The sequence below is a fragment of the Homo sapiens genome, chromosome 2 (genome assembly GCF_000001405.40).
Source record: "Homo sapiens chromosome 2, GRCh38.p14 Primary Assembly".
NCBI lineage: Eukaryota > Metazoa > Chordata > Mammalia > Primates > Hominidae > Homo > Homo sapiens.
The window spans coordinates 15,593,139-15,619,646 of NC_000002.12; the positions used below are offsets into that span (position 1 = coordinate 15,593,139).

General features: G+C 40.7%; 1 protein-coding gene across 1 annotated transcript in view; it reads left to right on the forward strand.

Moving 5' to 3' along the window:
* The window catches only part of DDX1 (DEAD-box helicase 1), a 39,234-nt gene that overhangs the window by 1,271 nt on the left and 11,455 nt on the right, over window positions 1-26,508 (forward strand). The window contains exons 2-16 of the mRNA NM_004939.3: window positions 2,007-2,058; window positions 2,352-2,415; window positions 3,596-3,625; window positions 4,237-4,333; window positions 6,531-6,578; window positions 9,410-9,493; window positions 10,054-10,137; window positions 10,676-10,752; window positions 11,299-11,371; window positions 12,812-12,888; window positions 13,012-13,126; window positions 14,037-14,175; window positions 20,086-20,146; window positions 24,106-24,204; window positions 25,043-25,132. Coding sequence (NP_004930.1) covers window positions 2,007-2,058; window positions 2,352-2,415; window positions 3,596-3,625; window positions 4,237-4,333; window positions 6,531-6,578; window positions 9,410-9,493; window positions 10,054-10,137; window positions 10,676-10,752; window positions 11,299-11,371; window positions 12,812-12,888; window positions 13,012-13,126; window positions 14,037-14,175; window positions 20,086-20,146; window positions 24,106-24,204; window positions 25,043-25,132 — 1,190 coding nt within the window. The remainder of the gene's footprint in view (window positions 1-2,006; window positions 2,059-2,351; window positions 2,416-3,595; window positions 3,626-4,236; window positions 4,334-6,530; window positions 6,579-9,409; window positions 9,494-10,053; window positions 10,138-10,675; window positions 10,753-11,298; window positions 11,372-12,811; window positions 12,889-13,011; window positions 13,127-14,036; window positions 14,176-20,085; window positions 20,147-24,105; window positions 24,205-25,042; window positions 25,133-26,508) is intronic.

A 26,508-nucleotide genomic window follows, 5' to 3' on the forward strand; every position in this document is an offset into this window, starting at 1 on the left:
CTCGAACTCCTGACCTCAGGTGATCCGCTCACCTCGGCTTCCCAAAGTGCAACAGTCATGTAAGATTTCTGACTGTTTCAGTTACATCTTCTAATAGGATTCAATTGGAAACTGCTCAGAGTTGTTGCTGTTTTTCTTTTCCCAACATTCTCCTAAAACGATTTTAGAGCCAAGGTCTGTAGGATAGTTCTAGGTAGTCATTTTATAGGTTCACATCTTTGGGAGTCATACACAAATTTCATGAATGTTAGAGGTAAAGGACTGGAAAAAGTCTGTGATATGAAATAAGACAAAACTGGAATTTCACGAATGTTTCTAATTTTTCCTTAACTGTTAAAAGTATTATACTTAAGGTCCGCTTTCAAAGAAAACTTGCAGGGAACATGACCAGAATGGTACAAGAGATTGTCTGGAATTTACTGAAAATGATATGTTGTTTCTTGTATAACAATTTTGCAAAGAGCTTCAGCTTGCAGTATTCCGTATGCAGTAAGAACACACCACTCCTTTGTTTCAAGCAGTTTGCATTTTAGGAGAGAGAACATAGACTGTAATACAGGTTAATTCTTAGGAAGGTCTGCCTGGATATTCAACTTTAGATCTTCATTAGTTTATCTGTGGCTTTTTTTTTTCCTGAGATTAAGAGCTAGGAAAGTCGCCAGGTGCAGTGGCTTATGCCTGTAATCCCAGCACTTTGGGAGTCCAAGGTGGGCAGATCACGAGGTCAGGAGATTGAGACCATCCTGGCTAACACAGTGAAACCCCGTCTCTACTAAAAATATGAAAAAAAATTAGCGGGCGTGGTGGCATGCGCCTGTAGCCCCAGCTCCTCGGGAGGCTGAGGCAGGAGAATTGCTTGAATCTGGGAGACGGAGTTTGCAGTGAGTGGAGATCATGCCCCTACACTCCAGCCTGGGTGACAGAGTGAGACTGTCTCAAAAAAAAACAAAAGAAAAGAAAAAAAAGAAAAAGAGTTAGGAGAGCCTTCTTTGAAAATGATGATCCTTCTCATCTGATGCAAAGAAAAAGCTACATAATTTTATGAAGAATATTTTCAGTTTGTATGTTTGCTTTATGCCTTTTCACAATGGCAAGAAATACAGAATTTCAGAATTGGTTATTTCTGGGGCTTGGGAATGTTTGATTCTTGTTCTTTTTTTTATAGGAATATATATTTTTATGATAAAGCTATATTTTATAAATACAGACTTAAAATAAAAATCACTTGTCTTTTGGAAGGAAAGTTTAAGTAATCCAACTAACTACTCCATATATAATTACCCTCTACAGTTCATATGAGAAATGATAAAATGACAAAACCCGGTTAGGAGCAACTCATCTCTATTCATTTAGGATGGGCCTTGAAGTAGAATTATTGAGATATGTATACAGTTAAGAACTCAGCAGTTCTTCAGCTGACATTTCCAGGTGCCCACGTTTTCACCACTGACCCCTCCCTCTTCAGTTATTCAGAATTTTGATTATGGCTGCCAATAAATGTGGGTGCTCGCCACTTGTCTATTCATTTTTTTCCAATTGCTGAGGGTATTCACATGGTCCTAGAATAGCCAAGGCACATAACTGCCACATTGTCTCTAAATGCAACAACCCTGTCTATTCTTGGCAGACTTTTCACGAGTCATGAGAGGTAAACAGGCACTGTAGTGGCTACAGTTTATTAGGTGACAACCATGCTCCAGTTGCATTACATGATTATCTCTGGTCTTCATATAGCCCTGCAAGGTAGGCAATATCAGCCCCATTTTGTGTGGAGAAAACAGATTTATAGCTTTGCCTAAGGTCACTTGCTAATAAGTGAGAACTTAGATTTGAACTCAGGTCTTTCTCCAGAACTTGTGCTCTTTCAACAGTGCCACGCTCAGTAGATTTGATGTAACTGAGCTATCCTTCAAAATCTTTACCCTGTTTTATGAATAGTAATTTTGAGAGCAATGCAATTTATCATTTCAGTTTATGTGGTTTTTAAAATTAATTTTTACTTTCAGAGATGGGTGTAATGCCTGAGATTGCACAAGCTGTGGAAGAGATGGATTGGCTGTAAGTACATAAAGCCTAAATGTACCTGGGAGAGGATGTTTTATAATTTAAACAGTTGTTAGTGATTTTATCAAATATTTTTGTGTCTAGTTGGGTAAGTGAAAATCAGGTTTTTTTTGTGATTTTCTAAATTATGGAAAGTTTCCTTTTTTTAACCTTGACATATTTCTAGTGGAATAAGATGGATCGTATTTACCACGTAAAATTTTCTTTTAGGCAAATTAACGTGACTTAATTTGCTTAGGCGATTTTTTTCCCCAGTAACTAAAATTCTTCAAATATGATTCTTTTAGCCTCCCAACTGATATCCAGGCTGAATCTATCCCATTGATCTTAGGAGGAGGTGATGTACTTATGGTAAGTTTAAATTTGGTGAGGTGATTGGTAGCTGGGGACACACTCTAAGAATTGCATAGGCTTACAAATGCTACTTTACCTTTATTCACAAACATTTATGATACATATACTGTATTCAGACTATTAGGTAAAAGCTTCAAACAGGTAAGTATTTACTCCTGAGAAGCTTAAACCCACTAGGGCAATAAGACATGTATAAGAATGAATCTCGTATCAGAGAGAATGTGGCTTCTTCGTAAGAGATGCAGAGTAGTATAGAATTCAAGTGGGAATCCAGTTGTCCTTTTGCTTGAAGGATCATAGGGACTGCTTAAAGGAAGTAGATTTCTTTTTTTTTGTTTTTGTTTTTTGGAAAAGGCCAAGCTCTGTTGCCCAAGCTGGAGTGCAGTGGTGTGTTTATAGTTCACTGCAGCCTCAAACTCCTCGGTTCAAGCAATCTTCCTATTTCAGCCTCCCAATTAGGTGGGACTACAGGTACACACCACCACATCCAGCTAATTTATTGTATTTTTTTGTAGAGACAGGGTCTCACTATGCTGCCCAGTCTGGTCTCCAACTCCCAGCCTCAAGCGATCCTCCTGTCTTGGCCTCCCAAAGTGCTGGAGTTATAAGTGTGGGCCAGATTTTTCGCAAGGGAAGATAAAAGAGAAATGCTTTTTAGGTAGAGAGAATATCAGCAAAACAGCGAATAGTAGAATGTAGGATATGACCCTGGAATATTTCAGTTGGTTGGTAGCATAAAATATGTGTCTGAGGGGGGATAAACTTGAAATAAAATTGTAGAGAGATAATGGGTCAGATTATTTGGGCTCTTTCTCAAGTGTCTTGTTAAAGAATTTGAGTGTTAGTCTTCTATGAAGACTAATCTGAGTAGCAGATTGTAGTATAGCTCTGGGATTAGATGTTGTTCGGATACTTTTATAATAATCTAGATTAGAATGATGAGAGCTTCCGTTTGAATGGTAGCAATGGGAAAGGGAAGAGAAGATTCTTAAGGGTATGGGAAAGGTAACAAGATGGGCTGTAGTTGGAGTTGACAGAGGAACCCTGGATATCTGGAGGCACTGTGAAAATAAAGGTAGCCAGTCAAATGTTAAAGATTTCTACATACTATGGTGTTAGTTTGATTTCTTTAATAGACAACTTAATCTGTAAAATCAACTTTTTTCCCCTCATTCAGGCTGCAGAAACAGGAAGTGGCAAAACTGGTGTAAGTAATAAATTATATTTACTTTCTCTCTAAAAGTTGAATTTTAAAATAACTTTGAACAGTAGTTTTTACTTTGAAATATTTAATAAAATAGCAACCTCCAAAAGGTAAGGAATTAATTACTTGCTACTGAAAATGATATTTTTGTTGCCAGCTAATTATGAAGAGCTAAAAAAAGTATGACCTTAAGAACATAGTTTTAAATGGGCGTTAGAGAGTTACAATAGCTTTAGTGTTTATACTCACTTCTGAATTTTAATATGATGACTCTTAAAATAAAAAGGTTACATACAGAAGTTGATCTCCTACTGGCCTGGACTAGAGAAATAATTTGTCGGACTGGATGGTATTTTTCCTCTTTAGTGTAGGTTCATTCTACCAGTCTCCATTGTTCTATCTTTTTGTGATGTTAGCTGCGTCCTATTTCCTTCATTCAGTCCACTCTGTGTTGTCTGATGGGTATTTTTGGTTTGGGTAAATGAAATTGTAGTAGCAATCTGGAATATGTATGATTAGTTGATGTGTGTGCATAACTTTTGTCATTTATATTGGTTATTAAATTGTCGTTAATATGTGAATACTAATATAGATACCTTTTGTTTCTTTGATAGGCTTTTAGTATTCCAGTTATCCAGATAGTTTATGAAACTCTGAAAGACCAACAGGAAGGCAAAAAAGGAAAAACAACAATTAAAACTGGTGCTTCAGGTAATTTTTGTAAATTGATATTTCCTTTTATATAAATCATTGGTTCTCATCACTGACAGTTAGGAAAGTGAGATTTGGGTATGCATTTTTAAAATCTTGTCAGTATCTGGGGGGTGGTATTGGGATCTGGAACCCTGGAAACCAGGGATGCTAAATGTTGTTGAGAGCCTAAACACTGCAAGGTTGTCCCTCCTAAAATACTAATAGTGTTCCCTTTGAGAAAACACTAGCATTTTGGAGATTACATTTCAATATTATAGTGTTTTTCTTAACCTTATAACTTTCTATGCTTAATGCTAAAGGAAAATAGGTACATTTTACAAAAATATTAAGGAAGGATTTTACAAATAATTTATGGAGTAAAAACCCATGCTGGTGGGAAGTATTGCCTTACAGGGAACAGAGGCATTTTTTTTCCTCTAAGATAAGAAGGGAACCACCTAGGAAGTTAAAATATAAATTTTAAAGTTGTTTCTTATGTGCAGTCCTATCTACATGGAAATTGGTCTTTTTATTAGGTTTCTGATACTGTCTCTACCGTAATCAATCTTACCGCAGTTTCTTCATCTTTAAATTGTGTTGCTTCTGTTGAATGTTTTCTAAATTTCATTCTATCTTAATTAATCTTTTGTTTTGTTATATTTTAATAATATTTTTTCCACATTTTAAGTCACTCTTGTTTCATTATACAAAACAGGATTGTTACAAAACAGCAAGTTGAAGACCAGTGAACCTGTCATATTAACATATTCTTTTCAGTTGTTTGAAAGTAATGTTATACATAAAATGTATAATGTAGAATCTGTGAACTCATGTAAATTAGAGATAGATAATTGATGTAACTATTTACACTATTGGCCTATTCTAAAATAGTTTCAGAATTTGTAACAACTGTGCCGTCATTTATGAGAAATGGTGGTAAAAGAAAACACTCCTAAAGGAGAATAACCATAGTGATAATGGTTCTGAAAGTCACATCCTATGAGGAATAAAGAAAGTAGAAATTTAAACATGGAGAAGAAGTAAAAATGGAGATGGGATAATTGTTAAATTATTGAAGAGAACTAGAGAGAAAGTAATTATTCTAGAAAGTAGGACCAGGACCAATTAGAAATAGTTTAGATGAAGATTTCTGTTTAACTTAAAGTACTTCCTAATAGCTACATTGAGCCACAATGCAAGGGAAAACCTCAAAGTTATTTCTACAATGTTCAAAGTGTTTAAGCTGATGATGGATATCTTTTGACCAGAAATAATCTAGAAAGGATTTCTACCGTGAGTGGAAAGTTGGTCTAGAAAGCACGTAGAGCTCTCTTTATTACAATTCTTAGTTTATACGTATACATACATCTTAACAAACTATCAAGATGTGTCAGAAAAGGAAAATGCCAATCTTATAAAAAGGCGGATGAAAAAAATGTGTGACTTTTGAATGTGGTATTGAATTAAGATAAAGGACTTGCTTTTTTTTTGATAGTTACAAGATAATTAGACTCTGAAATGTTGATCAGTTATTTCCTTTATAATTGAAGTCAACTTGTTTGGTTACTTAAACTTCTTTTTAATAGTGACCTAGGAGTAAGGACAGAGATCAGTATCATCTGATAGAGAGCACACTGAAGCAAGCAAGTGAGGAGAAAAGGTTTTAGGTCCAGATAGACCAGTGATGATTATCTTCAACATGTCTGATTTTTCAGTTGCGTTTTTGCTTTTAATAAAAACAAGTTTTACTTGTGTATTCTAAATAATATATAAAACCATATTGAATCTAGAGGAATTAAGGTACATAAAATACTTGTTTTTTTTTTTAATAGAGCGTTTTATTTTATTTATTTATTTATTTATTTATTTTTGAGATGGAGTCTCGCTCTGTCGCCCAGGCTGGAGTGCAGTGGCTCGATCTCTGCTCACTGCAGTCTCCACCTCCTGGGCTCAAGCGATTCTCCTGCCTCAGCCTCCCGAGTAGCTGGGATTACAGTCACACGCCACCATGCCTGGCTAATTTTTGTATTTTTTTTTTTAGTAGAGATGAGGTTTCACCACGTTGGCCAGGCTGGTCTTGAACTCCTGACCTCAAGTGAACCACCCACGTCAGCTTCCCAAAGTGCTGAGATTACAGTCGTGAGTCACCGCACCCGGCCAAGCATTTTAAATTTTATATATCTGTGGGTAACTTTTCTTATTTTAATTTGTTTAGTGCTGAACAAATGGCAGATGAACCCATATGACAGAGGATCTGCTTTTGGTAAGTGGATAGACTTTCCATCAGCTCATTTGTAATTCAGAAACTTTAAAAAATAATACATGAGAACACCAAGTAAATAAGATTAAGATTTAATTTACCAGATATTAGAATTTAGTCACTATCATTAAACAGTATAGAACTGACATAGGAATAGACAGTGGAACATAATGGAAATAAATCTCAGCACATATGAGAAGTTATATGCAGGAAAAATAATTATATTTCATTTCAGTGAGACAAAAGGATGGTTTATTAAGTAAAGGGTGCTGACACGATCCATCTGGAGCAATATAAAATTGACTTCTATCTCATATCATAATTAGAAATAAATTCCATGTGTATTTAGGACTTAAATATATATGTATGAATTTGAATACAGAAAACTACATGTATAATTTAGCAGTGGCAAAACTTTCCTAACCCAAATAGAAAATGCAGAAATTATAAAAGAAAGTATTTATAGGTGGAGTTGGACAGTCCTCCTTCTTGGGGTTAACAGACCTTACAGTGGCTTTTATCCAATTCACCAGGCTGGCTGTTCACTTGGGAATAACCTCCATCATGCATAGAGCCATCTGTGATTGTTCCATAGTGAGCAGCGAGACCTGCATCAACTCAAATATGCCCTTCTATTCTGCTGCATTTAAAACTAAGGATACTTTCCTAAAGCAGTTACTCTCAGAATGCATTTTAGTAAAGACTCCTCAGGAAGCTTATGATACTGATCTACAAAATGTAACAGTTCCTTCACACTATACCCTCCAGTTTCAGAGTGTTTTGGTTTTGCTCTTCCCCACATTTACTGCCTTCTTGGAGACCACAGGTCTTAGAAGTACTTTTTGTTGGCCCTGCATAATTTTTCCCTTGGGGGTCAGCTTTGAAGCTGGTGACCAAAGCTCAGATGGACTGAAATCTGAATGTAGTCTCACATCAAGGGCTGACCCAGCACTCTTTTACTTCATTTTAGCTATTACAGATAATAGTAACCAAAGGACTGTATACTTTTTTTCTTATTTGCATTTTCTTTTTTTTTTTTTTTTTTTTTTTTTTGAGACAGAGTCTCGCTCTGTTGCCCAGGCTGGAGTGCAGTGGCGCGATCTCAGCTCACTGCAAGCTCCACCTCACGGGTTCTTATTTGTGTTTTCTTATGCATCCAGTGAACCAGCTCCCCAGGAGTTGGATCCAACTCTAAATTCCACTGATAATTTTTATCATTAGTAACTGTGTGTAGCACAGCTGTGGCTCTGTACCATAGGTGATCTTGTGGCCACCAAGAAACCTAAAGTTCCTCATCCCCTACCCTTTTATCCTTTTTCTTTCCAAACCACAGTTCTGTGAGCCAAGGCAGTTCTAGCAAACCCTGATTCTGACACCAATTCTGAGAATATAGAGAAATAAATAAACTCCATTTTCCCTGTATACTCTCTCAGCATGCTTCTGACAGCAGATGTGTGGGGTTTTTTCCCACAAGTCAAGCAAGCAGTCAGTTCTCAGCATTTACGAGTTGAGAACTGATGGAGTAAGTAACAGACACATGTTTGTTTATTCTTGGTTTCCCATACTTTCCCATTATGGTTTCTTCCAGCTGAGAACTGTAATTCAATTCAATTCTGACACCGTCTTCATGAAGATAGCATCATATCCCACAGGTTGAGGGTTCAATCACACAAGACTGTCCCCCACATCTGATGCCCAGGTTGTGGCTTATGCTTCTAACCTATTGGCTATAAATCAGGGTTCCTACAATTCCTTCCTCAGGTTCAATTAATTTGCTAGAGTGGCTCACAGAACTCGGGGAAATATGTTTACTGGTTTATTTTTAAAGCTATTATAAAGAATACTGATGAAGAGATGCATAAGCTGAAGTACAGGAAGGGGCTTGGAGCTTCTCCCCTCCCTGGGCATGACACCCTTCAGGAACCGTCATGTGTTCAGCTATCCTGGAAGCTCCTAGATAACTTTTTAAAAGTTCAGTTCTACATAATTCAGTACCCATATGGGTAAGAATTCATACTTTGAATAATTAAATTTCTGAAAAGTGTAGGAAGATGTGTGTTGAGGTGCTTAACAGTTTGTTCTACTTTCAAGTACAGAATACGAGTTGGAAAGATGAACCAGGACAGAAATTATAGTTTTTTTCCAGTACAGACAAAAAGCTGAATCTTTACTTAAAACCATTTAGTATGTGGACATCACTGAGACTGATCATGATGTATAGTATAGAATATACCTCATCTTTTAGAGCCCTTATAATATTAGCAAGTAACAAATACATGCTTATTTATTCATGCTTTCTCCTAGTTTCCCATATGGTTTCTTCCATGGATTGAGGAACAAGCTAGAGACAGTTCTGTTATCTTTTAGTTATATAGTCACTCAAGCTCTAATTTAAGTATAAAATCAGGACGAATATTGATGAGCGAGTTGTGCATCATCCTTGAGTACGTTTCTTTAAAGGGCTCCAGAGAATAGTTATCTAAACACATTTGTATTGATGGTGCAACTACTATTAGTGCAAGTCAGGTTAAGAGCTGTGTTGAATCCTTTCTAGACTTGTTGCTGTAAAATCTTACCTTAGTTAACAGATGGCAGCATAGAAAATAGCCCCCAACATAGCCAAGGACACCCAGGGAATGAAATGGTTAATTACACTTGGGAAATACTACTATCACTCAGGAATCAGTAAGTCTCAGTCTCTGGAACATTGCAACAAATGAAGGAATTATCTTGTTAGTGAGACTGAATGATTTTTTTTGGTGGTAGGGGGTGGGAATGTATGATTTATAAAACCTGTACTGACGTGTTTTTCTGTGTTTTCTTCTCAAATCCAGCAATTGGGTCAGATGGTCTTTGTTGTCAAAGCAGAGAAGTAAAGGAATGGCATGGGTGTAGAGCTACTAAAGGATTAATGAAAGGTATTTGAACAGCATCTGCACTTGTATAAACTTTTGAGGCAAGGTATTAATACGTGAGGGTTTTTTTGTTGTTGTTTGTTTGTTTTTGAGATGGAGTCTCGCACGTCGCCCGGGCTGGAGGGCCCGGGCTGGAGGGCAGTGGTGCCATCTCGGCTCACTGCAACCTCCACCTCCCGGGTTCAAGCAATTCTCCTACCGCAGCTTCCCGAGTAGCTGGGATTACAGGCGCCCACCACCATGCCTGGCTAATTTTTGTACTTTTAGTAGAGATGGGTTTCACCATGTTGGCCAGGCTGGTTTTGAACTCCTAACCTCAGGTGATCTGCTTGCCTTAGCCTCCTAAAGTGCTGCCTGCAGGCGTGAGCCACTATGCCTGGCCCATGAGTTTTTAAAAATAGCTTTAAGTCGAGGATCTGGGAAGGTGTTTGATGGTACAAATATACCTATAATTCTTCATTTGGTACATACCTGTGTAATTCAGAAACAATGGGAAGATGACTTCATGGTAAATGAATCGTGTGTGTGATTTATATAAATCTCAATGTATTTTACCCTTGTAGGGAAACACTACTATGAAGTATCCTGTCATGACCAAGGGTTATGCAGGGTCGGGTGGTCTACCATGCAGGCCTCTTTGGACCTAGGTAAGTGTTTCTAAAATAACTGAATTGATTGATTTACATTTGGGGGATAACATTTTATTATTTGGGGAAGCAAAATAATAAATTTAACCATAAAAAGGTTTTATTTTAAAGACATGGAAACAATATTTATCTGTACCCCACCCTGTTCCAAAAAGGATTTGAAGGAACTTACAAAAAGTACAGATATTATAGCAGTATGAAATGAGGGATAAGAATATGAATGGAGTCAGGGTAAAGTTAGTGTGTGTGAATCTGTACCACACAGTACCATATAGATGCTTCATGTTATTGTAAACTTGCATCTGAATTTCTTAGTGGACAAAGCAGAGAGGGATGCAGTATCACTGGTGTCCCTAGTCTCACACACGCTCTGTGGCCTAAGCACTGTTTAGTTTTTTGCAGGATTCAGAAACTTAGGGAATAGTTTTCCTGTGGGTTTATGAAATGGACATACTATGTGAATAAAATTACTTCTTTTAGAGGTCTTTTAATTTTATATTTTCTCTTACCAGAAAAGTAAAATATTTTTTAAATCTAGGTACTGACAAGTTTGGATTTGGCTTTGGTGGAACAGGAAAGAAATCCCATAACAAACAATTTGATAATTATGGAGAGGTAAGCGATTATGTTATGACTTCAACATAGCATAAGTAAGTTTTCTTGCATACTTAATCACTCATGACAGAATGAGGGTATACAAATGATTCTCAAAATGAGCAGATTTTCTGTATATTTTCCACAGAAAGTTTGGATTTGGACTTTAGTGAAGAAATATTGTCAAGCTAGATAAATATGTAGTAGTTATAATTTTTCTTTTATGCCATTTGTCATCCCCTCCAAAATACATTACGTTGTCTTCTCTTTTCACCTCATTTTGATTTTGGCTTTGATACATGTTATTCTCATTTCTTATTATTGATCATGATGAGTCTAAATATAGTTCGTCTGGTGAGCTGAAATCTACAGTAGTGTGAATGAGCCTAAATATGTTGATTCTAACAAGCCTGTCAAATGCTTGTACTATTGTATATGTCATATGCTCTAATAGGCATTTTTGATTTAAATAATTATTTTGAAACACATACTTTTGATGCAGCTATATTTTAACTTTATTTAAGAATTTACTTTCTATTAATAGCATTTGACTTTCTGGTGTTCTAGGAATTCACTATGCATGATACCATTGGATGTTACCTGGATATAGATAAGGGACATGTCAAGTTCTCCAAAAATGGTAAGCTCTATATGGATCTTAGTAGTGAAAAGATACATGATATTCAATAATTGTGGTTTTTAAAAATCCCCCCACCCTGTTTTTCAAATCCCCGTCCCTCCCTCCCTGCCTTTACTTGAACTAATATTTATTGAGCATTGACTATGTGTAAGGTACCCTGGTAAGTACTGGAGGCACAGAAGAAAATGGAATAGACATTTGGGGCTTACACACTAGTGGTGAAAGACAGACATATAATACCATGTTAGGTGGTAGTAAGTGCTGTGAAGGAGGGTATAAAGCAGGGGAAGGAAGTGGAGAGTCATAGCGGTTTGGGGGTTTGTGCTTTTGTGTAGGGCAGTCAAAAGGCTTGATAAGGGACATTTAGGTAGAGATCCAAATGAGTTGGGTGGTAGGCCATGCAGATTTCTGCAAAGGGAATAGTAAATGTGGATGCCCTGAGATGGAAGCGTGCTTGAGGTGTCTGAGTCACAGCGAGGAAGCCACTAGATCTGGAGTGCTCTGGGGATAAAGGACGGTGGTAGAATGTTAGATGAGTGAGGTGGTGAGGCCAGGCCATGGAGAGCCATATGGGCCATGATCTAAACTTTGGTTTTTATTTTGAGTGAAATGGAAAGCCATGAGGGTTTTGAGCAGAGGGGTGGCATCATCTGTCTTTAGTTTAACAGTACCATTCTGGCTGCTTTGTTGAAGACACATTGGAGGGTGGGGTGAGATTGCCTAGGGATTGAGGGTAGTTAAAGAGAAGAAGAGATCTGAGGCCTGGGTTCCTGTGGTTAGGGGTCAGCAAATTGAGGAGAATCCAGCAGAGGGGAATGAGGAGGAAGGCCAGGAGGAGAACCAAGAAAGCATGGGTCCTACAGTCCTGGTGAAGGAAGTGTTTGAAGGATCAGGGAGCAATCACTGTTCAGTGCTGCGGATGGGTCTAGTCTAGCAAGATGAAGAATGTGCATTAACTGCTGCATTTGACAAGTGGAAAGCATTAGAGAGCTGTTTTGGTGGAGCAAAGGGGTGAGGGTGGGGAGCCTCCTAATAAGGAGCCAGTTCAATAGAGAATGAGATGAAAGAAAGTGGATACAGTGTAAATGGAAATCGGAGTTTCACTACAAAAGGGAGGAGAAAAATGGAAGGTAAATGGAGGGAGAGGTGAGTTCAAGGGAGGTTTTCTTGTGTGTTTTACTGTGAGAGTATGTTTATATGCTTTGAAATGTCTAATGGAAATGAACTTGTAGACAGGGAGTAATGAAAAATGTAGAGGGGTAGAAGTGACAGTTTCAGGAGTAAAGTAAAAAAATGAAGAAGCTGGCCTTAGGCAGCACAGTTTATCCATAGTGACAGGAGAGAGGCATGAATGCAGGTAAGCTGGTAGATTTGACATTGTCAGCATGAGGAAGGTCTTTTCTGATTGTTTTAATCTCTCTCTCTCTCTTGTTTTTTAAGGAAAAGATCTTGGTCTGGCATTTGAAATACCACCACATATGAAAAACCAAGCCCTCTTTCCTGCCTGTGTTTTGAAGGTAATTAGGAATCTAGTTAGAAAAAATTTGCTGTGGTTGTAAGCTGCTTACTCTTCATTATTTTGTATACGATGGTTTTCAATTAGGGTAGGAATTTTAATTTTCTGTTTTATTCAATGCTAGAATGCTGAACTGAAATTTAACTTCGGTGAAGAGGAATTTAAGTTTCCACCAAAAGATGGCTTTGTTGCTCTTTCCAAGGCACCGGATGGTTACATTGTCAAATCACAGCACTCAGGTATTATACCTGCAAGGGTAAGGATTTCTAGAATAGTGAGAATAATTGATGAGAACTCCAGTAAGTAAGGCGTCTCATAGTGAGTTACATATACTTTCCTTGCTGGTTTAGTCACACATCTTTTTTTAACACAGCAGTAAAATTCATTTTTAAAACCTAATTCATAAACTCTTAAGTATTTGGTTTCAGTGTAGGCATTTTGGGATCGCAATCATAACGGTAATGATATCTAATATTTATAGAATGTGTGCTTATTCAGTGCCAGGGCACCACATTAAGTGCTTTACATGGTTTAGTCTTCACAACAACCCTATAAGGTAGTAGTTTTCCCATTTTACAGACAACCTAACGAATAGGGACTTTAAGTGATTTGCCCAAGGTCACAGAGCAAATAAGTGGTAGAACTGAATTCAAATCTAAGCAGTCTGACTTCCAAGTTTATACTCTTATCCATTGTATATCTAATATTTAAAGTATATTTCATAACTTGTTTGTCACAAAACAAGTGAGTCATTTTTGTAGACATATCAATCAATTAGAATTATTCCAAGTAGATTTTTATTGTTGTTTTAAGAGAGGGGATCTCACTGTGTCACCCAGGCTGCTGGAGTGCAGTGGCGCCATCATAGCTCACTGCAGCCTTGAATACCTGGACTCAAGTGATCGTCCCACCTTGGGCCGCCCAAAGTGCTAGGATTGCAGGTGTCAGTCACCCCACCAGCCCAAATAGTTTTAATTTAAAGTAGCCTTTGTTTTAGAAATCTAAGGTTTATTCTGTTTGACTGTCTTCTCTACTTTTTGACAATTATTATGTAAAATGTTGATATTAGAATATTTGTCCTAATGTTTTATAAGTAACAGTATTATAAAGTGTGCTTTGAATGTGTTCTCATCTTTTTTATTCCCTAAGGTAATGCACAGGTGACACAAACAAAGTTTCTCCCCAATGCTCCGAAAGCTCTCATTGTTGAACCTTCCCGGGAGTTAGCTGAACAAACTTTGAACAACATCAAGCAGTTTAAGAAATACATTGATAATCCTAAATTAAGGTAAATCTTCCTTTTGTGCTGAAATGCTTATTGTCTTTTGGTTTGAAGTTTTTTGGAAGAAGAATAAGGTAGAGAAAAATGAAGTAGAAATTCAGTGTGTATACATAATACACGTGTGTGAGTATGTAAATATACTTTAATAATTTCCATATACAACTCCTGTTTGTTTGCTAAATGGTAAGTATGATTTTTTTAAAATTGAGATTTTTTTTTTCCTGTGTCTCTTACATGAAAAGTCATGGTTAGTCAAACAGCATTGGAGTAAAAATCTAATTTTTGGTTTTTTTTCTGAGACCGGGATCTCAATCTGTCGCCCAGGCTGGAGTGTAGTGATATGATTGTAGCTCACTGCAACCTTGACCTCCTGGACTCAAGCAGTCCTCCCACTTGAGTAGTTGGGACTGCAGGCACATGCCACCTTAGTAGAGATAGGGTTTCACTATGTTGCTTAGGCTAGTCTCAAACTCCTGGGTGCAAATGATCCTCCTGCTTCAGCCTCCCAGAGTGCTGGAATTACAGGCATGAGCCACTGTGCCTGGCCCTAACAATTTTTTGAAGAGAGCATTTCATTCACTGTTAAATTTATTTCTTCCCTAAATCTCTATAGAAAATGTGCCACTCTATTTCTAGCATGTTAGTAAACTTGGCGAGGTTTATTCTAGACTGCATCACGGTGGTGGCTTTCTTCCATTTGGACATTCAGATTGGTCACTGTCTAGTTATAAGACTCTTTCCACCATTGGAAGGATACCATAAATTAAAGTGACCTTGCTCAGTAGCAATCCCTTTGACTTTGAAGAAGGCTATACCATATAAGTAATACACTCTGTTAGTCAATTTGACACTTGATTTTTGTTAATTTTGTCTTTAATTACTTTTTAAACTTGAAACATTCACACACCATAAAACTCATTATTTGAAAGTGCACAATTCAGCCAGGTGTGGTGACTCACGCCTGTATTCCCAGTACTTTGGGGGGCCGAGGTGGGCGGTCACCTGAGGTCAGGAGTTCAAGACCAGCCCAGCCAACACGGTGAAACCCCATCTCTACTAAAATACAAAAATTAGCTGGGCTTCGTGGCAGAGACCTGTAATCCCAGCTACTCGGGAGGCCAAGGCATGAGAATTGCTTGAACCCAGGAGGTGGAGGTTGCATTGAGGCCAAGATTGCGCCATTGCACTCCAGCCTGGGCAACAGAGTAAGACTCCGTCTCAAAAAAAAAAAAAAAAGCAAGTGTTTCTTGGTTCATTGGTTTTTAGTATATTCACAAGGTGTGTAACTGTCACCACTATCAAATTTCAGAAGCTTTGAATATTTTGACATCACAAAAGCCTGTGTTTTTTTTTAGGTTTTTTTTTTTTTTTTTTTTTTATGAAGTCTCGCTATGTTGCCCAGGCTGAAGTAAGTGGCTGTTCACAGGTTCAGTCTTCCTACACTGTAGCCTTGAACTCCTAGACTCAAGGAATTCTCTCTCTTGCCTCAGCCTCCCGAGTAGCTGAGAATACAGGCACATGCCACTGTTTCAGGCAGGCCTGTCTTTTTAATATTGATCTTATTTACAGGTTGAACAAACTTATTTAGGGATAAATTATGTAAAATAATTACTAATTTTGTTTTGAAGATTGATGCATGTTCCTTATTCAGCAAATGTTCATCTACCTTCCATATGTGAAGTTTTAGGCTGGGAGCCAGGGCTTCAACAATGAAAATTAATCTTCCTTTCACAGAATTAAGTGTGAAAGTGTGGGGATAGTGTGGAGGGGAGAGAAACAAAACAAATACAATAAATGCCTTGAGCATACCATGTAACCAGGGCATCTGCTTAGTGTAAGAAACTCAGGGACGTCTTTATAAAAGGATTTGGGAAGAATGTAAAATGCTAGTGTGAATTGATTTTTGTGCTGTGATTATGTATAAAAATGAACATGATTATAGACAAAAGTTAGAGGGGAAGATGAATAATAAAATCAATTTATTGGTTAAGATGGTAAAGTCATGGGCCACTTGTTTGGTATTCGGTACAAATGGACATTTTCTTTCTTAAAACCCAGCTGAAGTCATGATCTTTGAATGAAGCTAAGCTGGCTGTCCCAGCCCAGCCATCTGCCCCTCCTCTGATACACTGACTGTACATGCCTTTCCCTGATCCTTACATACTGTCATGTGTTACTTTTCCTTACTTTTTAATTTTCTTAATTTTTATTTCCTTTTTAGAGCTATACTTGCTTTAAGTTTCTTGCTTTGAATATGCAAAGCTTTTATCTAACTCAGTTTTACATTCCTTAGTGCAGGGGTGGTTCTTTTATATTCTTCAACCCTACAGTGCTTTGCGTATAAGCATCAATTATCATGTGTATGTGTGTTTACCTTCTGCCAAGTTTATAGGGATAAATATATCTGATTATAAATGTGGATAAAAGTAAAAGTATTGTTGGAAAAAAAAATGATAGTTTAGGACAATAGTCCAAACCTAGGAACTTGAGGACCTCATTTAAAAATATAAAATGTATTGGTTCCCTCCCCTGGATATACTGAATCAGAATTTCCAGAGAATAGGAATTAGAATCTTTTTTTATTTGTTTGTTTTTTAAGAAAAGCAGCTCCTCCAGGTGATTCTTTTTGGTTTTGGTTTTATTTTTGAGATGAGGTCTCACTCTGTCACCTAGGCTGGAGTACAGTGGTGCCTCATAGCTCACTGCAGTCTCAAACTCTAGGGCTCAAGCAATCCTCCCACCTAAGCCTCCAGAGTAGCTGGGACTGCAAGCAAGTGCCACAGTGCTTGGCTAATTTTATTTTTTGTGGAGACATGGTCTTGCTATGTTGTGCAGGCTGGTCTCGAACTCCTGGCCTCAAGCAATCCTTGTGTCTCCGCCTCCGAAAGTGCTGGATTATAGGTGTGAGCTACTGCATCTGGCCTTTACTCTCCTGATACTGTCCTTTGGAAGTCTTAATTTTGATGAAATCCAATTTATCTGTTTTTCTCTTTTGTCATGGTGTTTTGATGTTGTAGTTAAGATAGACTATGCCTAACCCAAGGTCATGAAAATTTTATTTGTGTTGTCTTCTGAGTTTTATGTTTAGGTTCTACATTTAGGTCTGTGATACATTTAGAGTTAATTTCTGTGTATGGCATGAGAAAGGGTTTTAACTTCAGTCTTTTGCATGTGCATATCCATGTGTCCCAGTGCCAGTTGGCCAGTCATTGAAATGAGAAACATTCAAACACAAAAGGGTACTGTGAAAAGTGAGTCTTCTTTCACTCCTTTCCCCAATTTCTAGTTATCCTTTCTGGAGGCAACGTTTTAAATTGATTTTTGTATATTCCTTCAGGGCATTTTATATACATACAAGTATATATGTCTGAAAACATAGATTGAAACCAGGTTTTAAAGAACCTTGAATTATCCTAATGTAGAAGAATATGTAGATGAGAATAATTTTTTCCATGTTACAAGCTCACGCATTCTCTTTCGTGACTTTACCGCACTTCAGCAATAGATACAGCTACGGGGATTTAACTGCTTTGTTTCCCACCTTCCCCAGACTTGTTTTTTTTTTTATTTTTTATTTTTTAATTTATTTATTTTTTATTGATCATTCTTGGGTGTTTCTCACAGAGGGGGATTTGGCAGGGTCACAGGACAATAGTGGAGGGAAGGTCAGCAGATAAACAAGTGAACAAAGGTCTCTGGTTTTCCTAGGCAGAGGACCCTGCGGCCTTCCGCAGTGTTTGTGTCCCTGGGTACTTGAGATTAGGGAGTGGTGATGACTCTTAACGAGCATGCTGCCTTCAAGCATCTGTTTAACAAAGCACATCTTGCACCGCCCTTAATCCATTTAACCCTGAGTGGACACAGCACATGTTTCAGAGAGCACAGGGTTGGGGGTAAGGTCACAGATCAACAGGATCCCAAGGCAGAAGAATTTTTCTTAGTACAGAACAAAATGAAAAGTCTCCCATGTCTACCTCCTACTACACAAACACGGCAACCATCCGATTTCCCACTCTTTTCCCCACCTCTCCCCACTTTCTACTCCACAAAACCGCCATTGTCATCATGGCCCGTTCTCAATGAGCTGCCGGGCACACCTCCCAGACGGGGTGGTGGCCGGGCAGAGGGGCTCCTCACCTCCCAGTAGGGACGGCCGGGCAGAGGCTCCCCCCACCTCCCGGACGGGGCGGCTGGCCGGGCAGGGGGCTGACCCCCCCACCTCCCTCCCGGACGGGGCGGCTGGCCGGGCGGGGGGCTGACCCCCCGACCTCCCTCCCGGACGGGGCGGCTGGCCGGGCAGAGGGGCTCCTCACTTCCCAGTAGGGGTGGCCGGGCAGAGGCACCCCCCACCTCCCGGACGGGGCGGCTGGCCGGGCGGGGGGCTGACCCCCCCACCTCCCTCCCGGACGGGGCGACTGGCCGGGCGGGGGGCTGACCCCCCCACCTCCCTCCCGGACGGGGTGGCTGGCCGGGCGGGGGGCTGACCCCCCCACCTCCCTCCCGGACGGGGCGGCTGGCCGGGCAGAGGGGCTCCTCACTTCCCAGTAGGGGCGGCTGGGCAGAGGCGCCCCTCACCTCCCGGACGGGGCGGCTGGCCGGGCGGGGAGCTGACCCCCCCACCTTCCTCCCGGACGAGGCGGCTGGCCGGGCGGGGGGCTGACCCCACCACCTCCCTCCCGGACAGGGCGGCTGGCCGGGCAGAGGGGCTCCTCACTTCCCAGTAGGGGCGGCTGGGTAGAGGCTCCCCTCTCCTCCCGGAGGGGGCGGCTGGCTGGCGGGGCCTGACCCCCCCACCTCCCTCCCGGACGGGGCGGCTGGCCGGGCGGGGGGCTGACCCCCCCCACCTCCCTCCTGGACGGGGCGGCTGGCCTGGCGGTGGGTGACCCCCACCTCCTTCCTGGACGGGGTGGCTGCCGGGCGGTGACGCTCCTCACTTCTCAGACGGGGCGGCCGGGCAGAGACGCTCCTCACCTCCCAGACGGGGTCGCGGCCGGGTAGAGGCGCTCCTCACATCCCAGACGGGGCGGCGGGGCAGAGGCGCCCCCCACATCTCAGACGATGGGCAGCTGGGCAGAGACGCTCCTCACTTCCTAGATGGGATGGCGGCCGGGAAGAGGCGCTCCTCACTTCCTAGATGGGATGGTGGCCGGGAAGAGGTGCTCCTCACTTCCTAGATGGGATGGCGGCCGGGCAGAGACGCTCCTCACTTTCCAGACTGGGCAGCCAGGCAGAGGGGCTCCTCACGTCCCAGATGATGGGCGGCCAGGCAGAGACGCTCCTCACTTCCCAGACGGGGTGGCGGCCGGGCAGAGGCTGCAATCTCGGCACTTTGGGAGGCCAAGGCAGGCGGCTGGGAGGTGGAGGTTGTAGCGAGCCGAGATCACGCCACTGCACTCCAGCCTGGGCAACATTGAGCACTGAGTGAGGGAGACTCCGTCTGCAATCCCGGCACCTCGGGAGGCCGAGGCTGGCGGATCACTCGCGGTTAGGAGCTGGAGACCAGCCCGGCCAACACAGCGAAACCCCGTCTCCACCAAAAAAATACGAAAACCAGTCAGGCGTGGTGGCGCGTGCCTGCAATCGCAGGCACTCGGCAAGCTGAGGCAGGAGAATCAGGCTGGGAGGTTGCAGTGAGCCGAGATGGCAGCAGTACAGTCCAGCTTCGGCTCGGTATCAGAGGGAGACCGTGGAAAGAGAGGGAGAGGGAGACCGTGGGGAGAGGGAGAGGGGGAGGGGGAGGGAGAGGGCAGCGTGTAACCTTTGTAACTTCCCCCAGACTTGTTTTATTGTAGGCTTTTTTCCTCAATTACTTTCTCAACCTTAATTTCCACCTAAAATAAATGGATGCAGATCAAACAATGTAAAGCAGACTTTAATTTTTTTTTTTTTATATTATCATCTTGATATTTATTTCAGGGAGCTTCTGATAATTGGAGGTGTTGCAGCCCGGGATCAGCTCTCTGTTTTGGAAAATGGAGTAAGTTGTAGTTTTAATTTTTAAAACATAATGTCATGGGCTGTCGTTTTAGCAATACAGCTCTGTTTTGTTTCAAGAAAATTTAAGTGAGGCTGAAATTAGAGCAAGGTCAGAGGAGTATGTTTGTTCAAAGACATCTTGCAAGTGCGCCTTTTCTTCTCCTGGAAGTATACAAAGTCTCTCCCAGACCTCTCAAGCAAAATTCCAGCATACATGATTTTTTGTTGTTTACCCTCTGAACATTTGAGAATTTCCTTCTGGCCTTCATGGGTAAAGAGTCATTCTTTTTGGGGAGATAAGTGAAAAAGAAGAAACTGGAGTTAAGAACAAAAGTAGAGGTAAAATAGATTGCAGAGAAGGATAGAAGTTCCTGCAGTGACTCTTGGGAAGGATGAATAATGATAAGACAGTGGGTAATAGTTCCAGTGAGGAGAGACATGAGTTCAATTATGTGTAAGGGGAAGTCGCAAAGGCTGTGCTCAGCCATGCCATTACGAAGGACAAAGCTAAGAGGATCTGATCTCCACTGTTGGAGAAGAAGTTTAGGAATTTTTTTTTTTTTTTTTTTTGAGAAGGAGTTTCACTCTTGTCGCCCAGGCTGGAGTGCCATGACATGTTCTCGGCTCATTGCAACCTCTGCCTCTTGGGTTCAAGCAGTTCTCCTGCCTCAGCCTCCTCAGTAGCTGGGATTACAGGCACCCGCCACCATGTTGGCTGATTTTTTTGTATTTTCACCATGTTGGCCAGGCTGGTCTTGAACTCCTGACCTCAGGTGATCCACCCGCCCTGGCCTCCCAAAGTGCTGGGATTACAGGAGTGAACTACTGCGCCTGGCCGAAGTTTAGGAAATTTTTAACTGTTTATCAGTTCTGTGAAGGTAGGACTTCATGAAATATTTTTCGTGTGTGAAATAACTTACAGCTTATAAATTTCTCTTTTATTTCCTTTCCTAAATATTTAATCATTAAAGCTAAACCATCCGATATTGAGTCATGACAAGCAATTGTGTCCTTTCTCCAATTCCATTGGTGCTCTTGTCAAACTAAATTTTGTGCCACACAGACTTTACATTTGACCTGGTATGCCATATTAAGAGCAAGGAATCATATTACCATACTTGTTAATACTATTCTAAGATGAGTAATATTGCTTTGATATGTTTTTATTTAGTGCTATGGTTTTAATGTCCCCACCAAAACTCATGTTGAAATTTAATTGCCCATATAATGGTATTGGAAGGCGGGGGCTTTTAACAGATGATTAGATCGCGAGGGCTTTGTCCTCATGAATGGGTTAATGCCTTTGCTGTAGGAGCGGGTTAGTTATTGCAGGAGTTTCGGCCCGTTTTCCTCTCTTTGTTGCTCCTTTCTGCCATGAGATGACCCTCACTAGTTGCTGCTGGCACTATGCTCTTGAACTTCCCCAAACCTCCAGAAATGTGACAAATATTCTTTTCTTTATAAATTATCTACTTTGTGATATTCTGTTAAAACAGCAGAAAATGAGCTGAAACATTTAGTGTGTTTTATTTTATTTTAGTGGTTGTAAGAGAGATTTAATAAGTTTATTCCCAATCTTGCTTCCTCAAACCCATTTTTCCCATAAGATAATATGTTTCTCAATTCCTATTTTCCTAAAGCTTATAGAGCTTTTAGGGAATTAAATCTGCTTTCATCAGGATGTCTCAAAATTTGGTACTAACTTGAAGCAATTGGAAAGGTAGTGTTATACCAGAGCATTCTTTGCAGAATTCAATTCTACTCTACTTCTTAGGGGATCTAATATGATCTTTATCTGTTCTTCTCTCTGTCTTACATTCTCTGCTTCTGTTATCTTCCACCACACTCTGGTTCAGCCTTAGCCCTGTGTTGGGTCTTATGCTGGGGCAGAAGTCAGCTTGGCAATGAGAGTAGAAGAATTTTAGTTTTCTAATCTTTTAGTCTTACGGTATTATGCAACATGTGCCACTGAGGTCATATAAATAAAGATGTCTCACAGGCTTTTCTGATCTAACTGACTTAAAAAAACAAAACAAAACCCTGAGAGGCCTTGTGTCTGTCTTCATGCCCACTTTACCTGCTGAAATTCGGAAGGAGGAAACTCACGTGGTTAGAATACTGTACTAAACTGATGTCATAGAACCAGATGGTATTTTGTTCACTGCTGTGTACAGCACCTGTCTCAGTGTTTGGCACATAGTAGATTCTTAATACATTGGACAGATTTTATCTTCACATTTTCAGACAATATTTTCTAGGTTGAACTTGCTGTAATTATCAGTGCAGATGAAACAATAGCTTCAGAAATGTCTGCTTTATTTTTCATGGGATAATAAGTGCCTCATATTGGATCAAGTTAAAAGTTCTGTTTATTCGAGGGGTGAGATATTGAAGTAATGGAACTAGAGGAATAACTTTGCTAATAGAAAACTATATTTTTAGTACAGGGTGGAGAAAACAGGTAAAAAAGAATGGAAGTGTTGTTTTTTAATGCCTGCCAATTAAGGAGTAGAGGTTTTGAATTGTCTGATTTACTGAATGATCTTATGTAATACCTTATTTGTGCTCACATAAATACATCATATACACACTTTATATATTTTTATTTATTTATTTATTTATTTTTGGAGATGGAGTCTCGTTCTGTTGCCCAGGCTGGAGTGCAGTGGTGTGATCTCAGCTCACTGCAACGTCTGCCTCCCAGGTTCAAGCAGTTCTCCTCCCTCAGCCTCCTGAGTAGCTGGGACTAGATGTGCACGCCGCCATGCCCGGCTAATTTTGTGTGTGTGTGTGTGTGTGTGTGTATTTTAGTAGAGACGGGGTTTCACCATTTTGCCCAGGCTGGTCTTGAACTCCTGAGCTCAGGCAATCTGCCTGCCTCGGCCTCCCAAAGTGCTAGGATTACAGGCGTGAGCCACCGCGCCGGCCCATATACACACTTTAAAAATACCTCATCTTTATTGACTGCTTTCTAGAAATGGGTCAGGCACTGTACTAAAAACATAACATGTTCTTACTCAGTACTTACAATAATCCTCTGAGATGGTACTCTTCCCCATTTTTACAGATTAAGAAGAGGGCTTATATCAAATATTAAGTAACTTACCTAAGATCATACAACTCATAGGTAGAACTTTACTCTGAAACCTGTGTGTCTAATCACCATACCTATGGACTTGACTACAAGATATGTGTGGGAGAATGCAAAATGTTAACTGTTTGTACTGGCACCGAGGCTCACTGTTCTCTTCTATGTATGTTTGAAAAGTTTTATTTAGTATTCTAAACTTCCGTTTTCTCATTGAATAGGGATGATTATAGTAGTATTTACCTTAGTGGTAACATGAAATAAAACATGTACTTGTAAAACATTTTGCAGAGTGCCTGTTCATTATAAGTACTTGACAAATAGTAACTATTACTGTTTTCCTGGACAGTCTGATCACCATTACTATTAACTATAACCAAATTTATTGAGCACCTGGGACACTCTGCGTCTAGTGCTTTACGCATCTTATCTCTTAATTATCACAACCATCTTGAAAAAGAGAAGGTATTCCCCCAATTCAAAAATGGGAAAATTGGTACTAGAGGAGATTAAATAAATTAAGGTCACAGAGCAGAGTAGTGGTGGAACTGGGACTTGAACTCTAGGTTCCGTTGAGTTCCAGTGAATTCATCAGATTTTTGCTTGGAAAATATAAATTTTATGCATTAGAATGTATATCAGTTAAGGATGTCAAAATCAATTTTGGTCAAAATCTTCACATTAATTTCAAACCAAGTATCAGTTGAACATATGGCATTATCTGTAACTCCTTTTTTTTTTTTATAAATTTAGAGTTGACTGACTACTTCAATATGCATGTTTTTATTAAAAAGACAGTTATTGGTTGCTATTTTAACGTAATTATACTGTTTCTTTAGTTTTCATTAAGTGGTTGGTTTGCTTTTTTTCAGGTAGATATAGTTGTAGGTACTCCGGGAAGACTAGATGACTTGGTGTCAACTGGAAAGCTGAACTTATCTCAAGTTAGATTCCTGGTCCTGGATGAAGCTGTATGTTGAAATATAATCATACTTTTTAAAAAGTTTACTTATATTTTTTGAGATAAAATATATAAAATGAAGAAGAAATATAATTCAGTCATGATCCTACTACCTAGAGATAATCATTGTTATCAGTTTGGTATATTTTCATATACTTTTTATTTATATATTATTTTATGTAGTTGAAATCAAGATATGAGGAATCTGGGAAAAATTTTAAAAATGTAATGTCATAAGTATTTCCTGTAATTGTACATAATTTATAAATGCTGTCTAGTGGTCTATTATATGGCTACTTCATGGTATATTTAATTACTCTTATTTCTAGGTATGTAGGCAGATTTGATTTTTGCTCCAAATAACCAGCTTTGTTTGTACATACATTTTCTACATACTATAAATTTGTTCCTTGTGTCAGAGATACAAAATGTAGACCATCTGGAAGGACATAAATGTGTTTGAGTCTCTTAGACATACTTCCAAATCATTTTCAGGTTGGGTTACCTAGTTCCTCAGCACTGAGGGTTTTTAATTTTTTATATGAAAAGTCTGTTGAAGGATATATGTTAGAAGCTGTTGACTGAAATTTTCATTCTAGATTATTAGATTATGGTTTTGGATTGCTTATTGTCACTTTTTCATATTTTAGTCACAAGAAACTTAAAATTGAATTTATAAATTATCTTTATCCAACAAAATAATTTTGAAAATATAGGACTATGTATATGCATGAATTAGTTTCCTTATATTTTGTTTGATTTAGAAAAAAGATTTTTGATACTGATTAAAACTTACGTTTTTTTCCATACTGATTAAAAACTTAATTTATTCTTTGTTTCTCATGCAGGATGGGCTTCTTTCTCAAGGTTATTCTGATTTTATAAATAGGATGCACAATCAGATTCCTCAGGTTACCTCTGATGGAAAAAGACTTCAGGTATAAAATTTATCAATGCATCTTAAAATGCATGTAAACAATTGTTATGTATAATGTTACGGGATCCCAGGGGGTGTTGCTTTTCTGGCTGGAAACCTCTGCGGCTAGTGATGCCCTTGCCCGGGTTTTGCTCAGTTCCACCCACTTGGCCTGGCAGGCTGTGCTCAGCTCTCACTACCAGCCTGGACCCCATGCCTCCCAAGGGTGAGCCAGGCGCGGAGTGGTGAGGCGTGTATGAGCGAACGTGGGGTCTGGCCATGGCACACAGCCAGGCACATTGGCTGCGGCAGGGCGGGTAGCTCCAGGCACTGGCATGGGCACCGGCTCTCTGTGAGGCTGGTGGCCAGGCCCCGAGGCTTCAGGTCTTCCCCAGTTGAAGGTGGGGCTTCACCGGGGACTAGCCCCCTTCCGCCCAGGAGCCTGTCTGCCTCCTGCTGCTGTTCATGGTGCCCAGACTGTTCATGCCAAGGGACACGTGCAGGCCAGCACTGGGCCGTCCTCAGCCTGCCTTGGCCCTCCTTCCGTGTTCGCTGGCGCCCAAAGGCTGGAAGGGGCCAAAGTGGCAGTGGGTTGGTGTATCAATGCTACCTCAAGTGTGCACACCCAGCTGGCCCAAGCTTGAGACAGTGCCCAACCTCGGCCTTAACTTTGTTCTGTGATCAGAGTGGGTGTTGACAGCAGGGAGAGGCCAGGCAGTGGAAGCAGACATCTCCGAACCTGTGGGGGCAAGGGAGGGCCTTTTAGGGCCCCCCGAGTGCAGAGATGTCTGGGTCCGCAGCCATAACTTGGGCAGCTGCAGCCATGCCTGGGATGGTGGAGCTCCTGCCTGCCCTGGCTCCCACCACCACCCTGGGCCCAGCTCCATCTCAGGGCTCCTCTCTCTCTGCCCCTCTGTGCCCAACCTCACTGCTCCCCCTCTGGCAGGCGACTCGGCCCAGCCCCATTGAGGTGGCTCCCAGGGCAGTGGGCTCCAGGGTCCTCCCAGGGGTGGACTCTAGAGACTGTCCGCCTCCTCTCTGTGCCCTCCCCGCAGCAGTGGCGGGCAAGAGCGGCAACACGGGGCCAGGGTCCAGAGTGGTGGAGACTCTGGGCCTGGGAGCGGGTCCTGCCCAGCTTCGCGAAGGTTGGGGTGGCCCAGTCAGCTGCCTTGGGGATGCGGGGCACAGGGAACCCACCACCACCACTGCAGCTCCTGCAGCCTCTCTTGCTGCCGCTGCTCATGTCTCCCCGCTGCAGCCAGCTTGATGGCAGCAGCTGCTCCTGACGGCCTGTTGCTGCCATCATTAATGCTTATGAGCAGGGTCAAAGGGTTTTTGTTTGGTCCCCTCTCATTAAATTTATTACTATGTAAAATGTTTGCTTTACGTTACTGGACG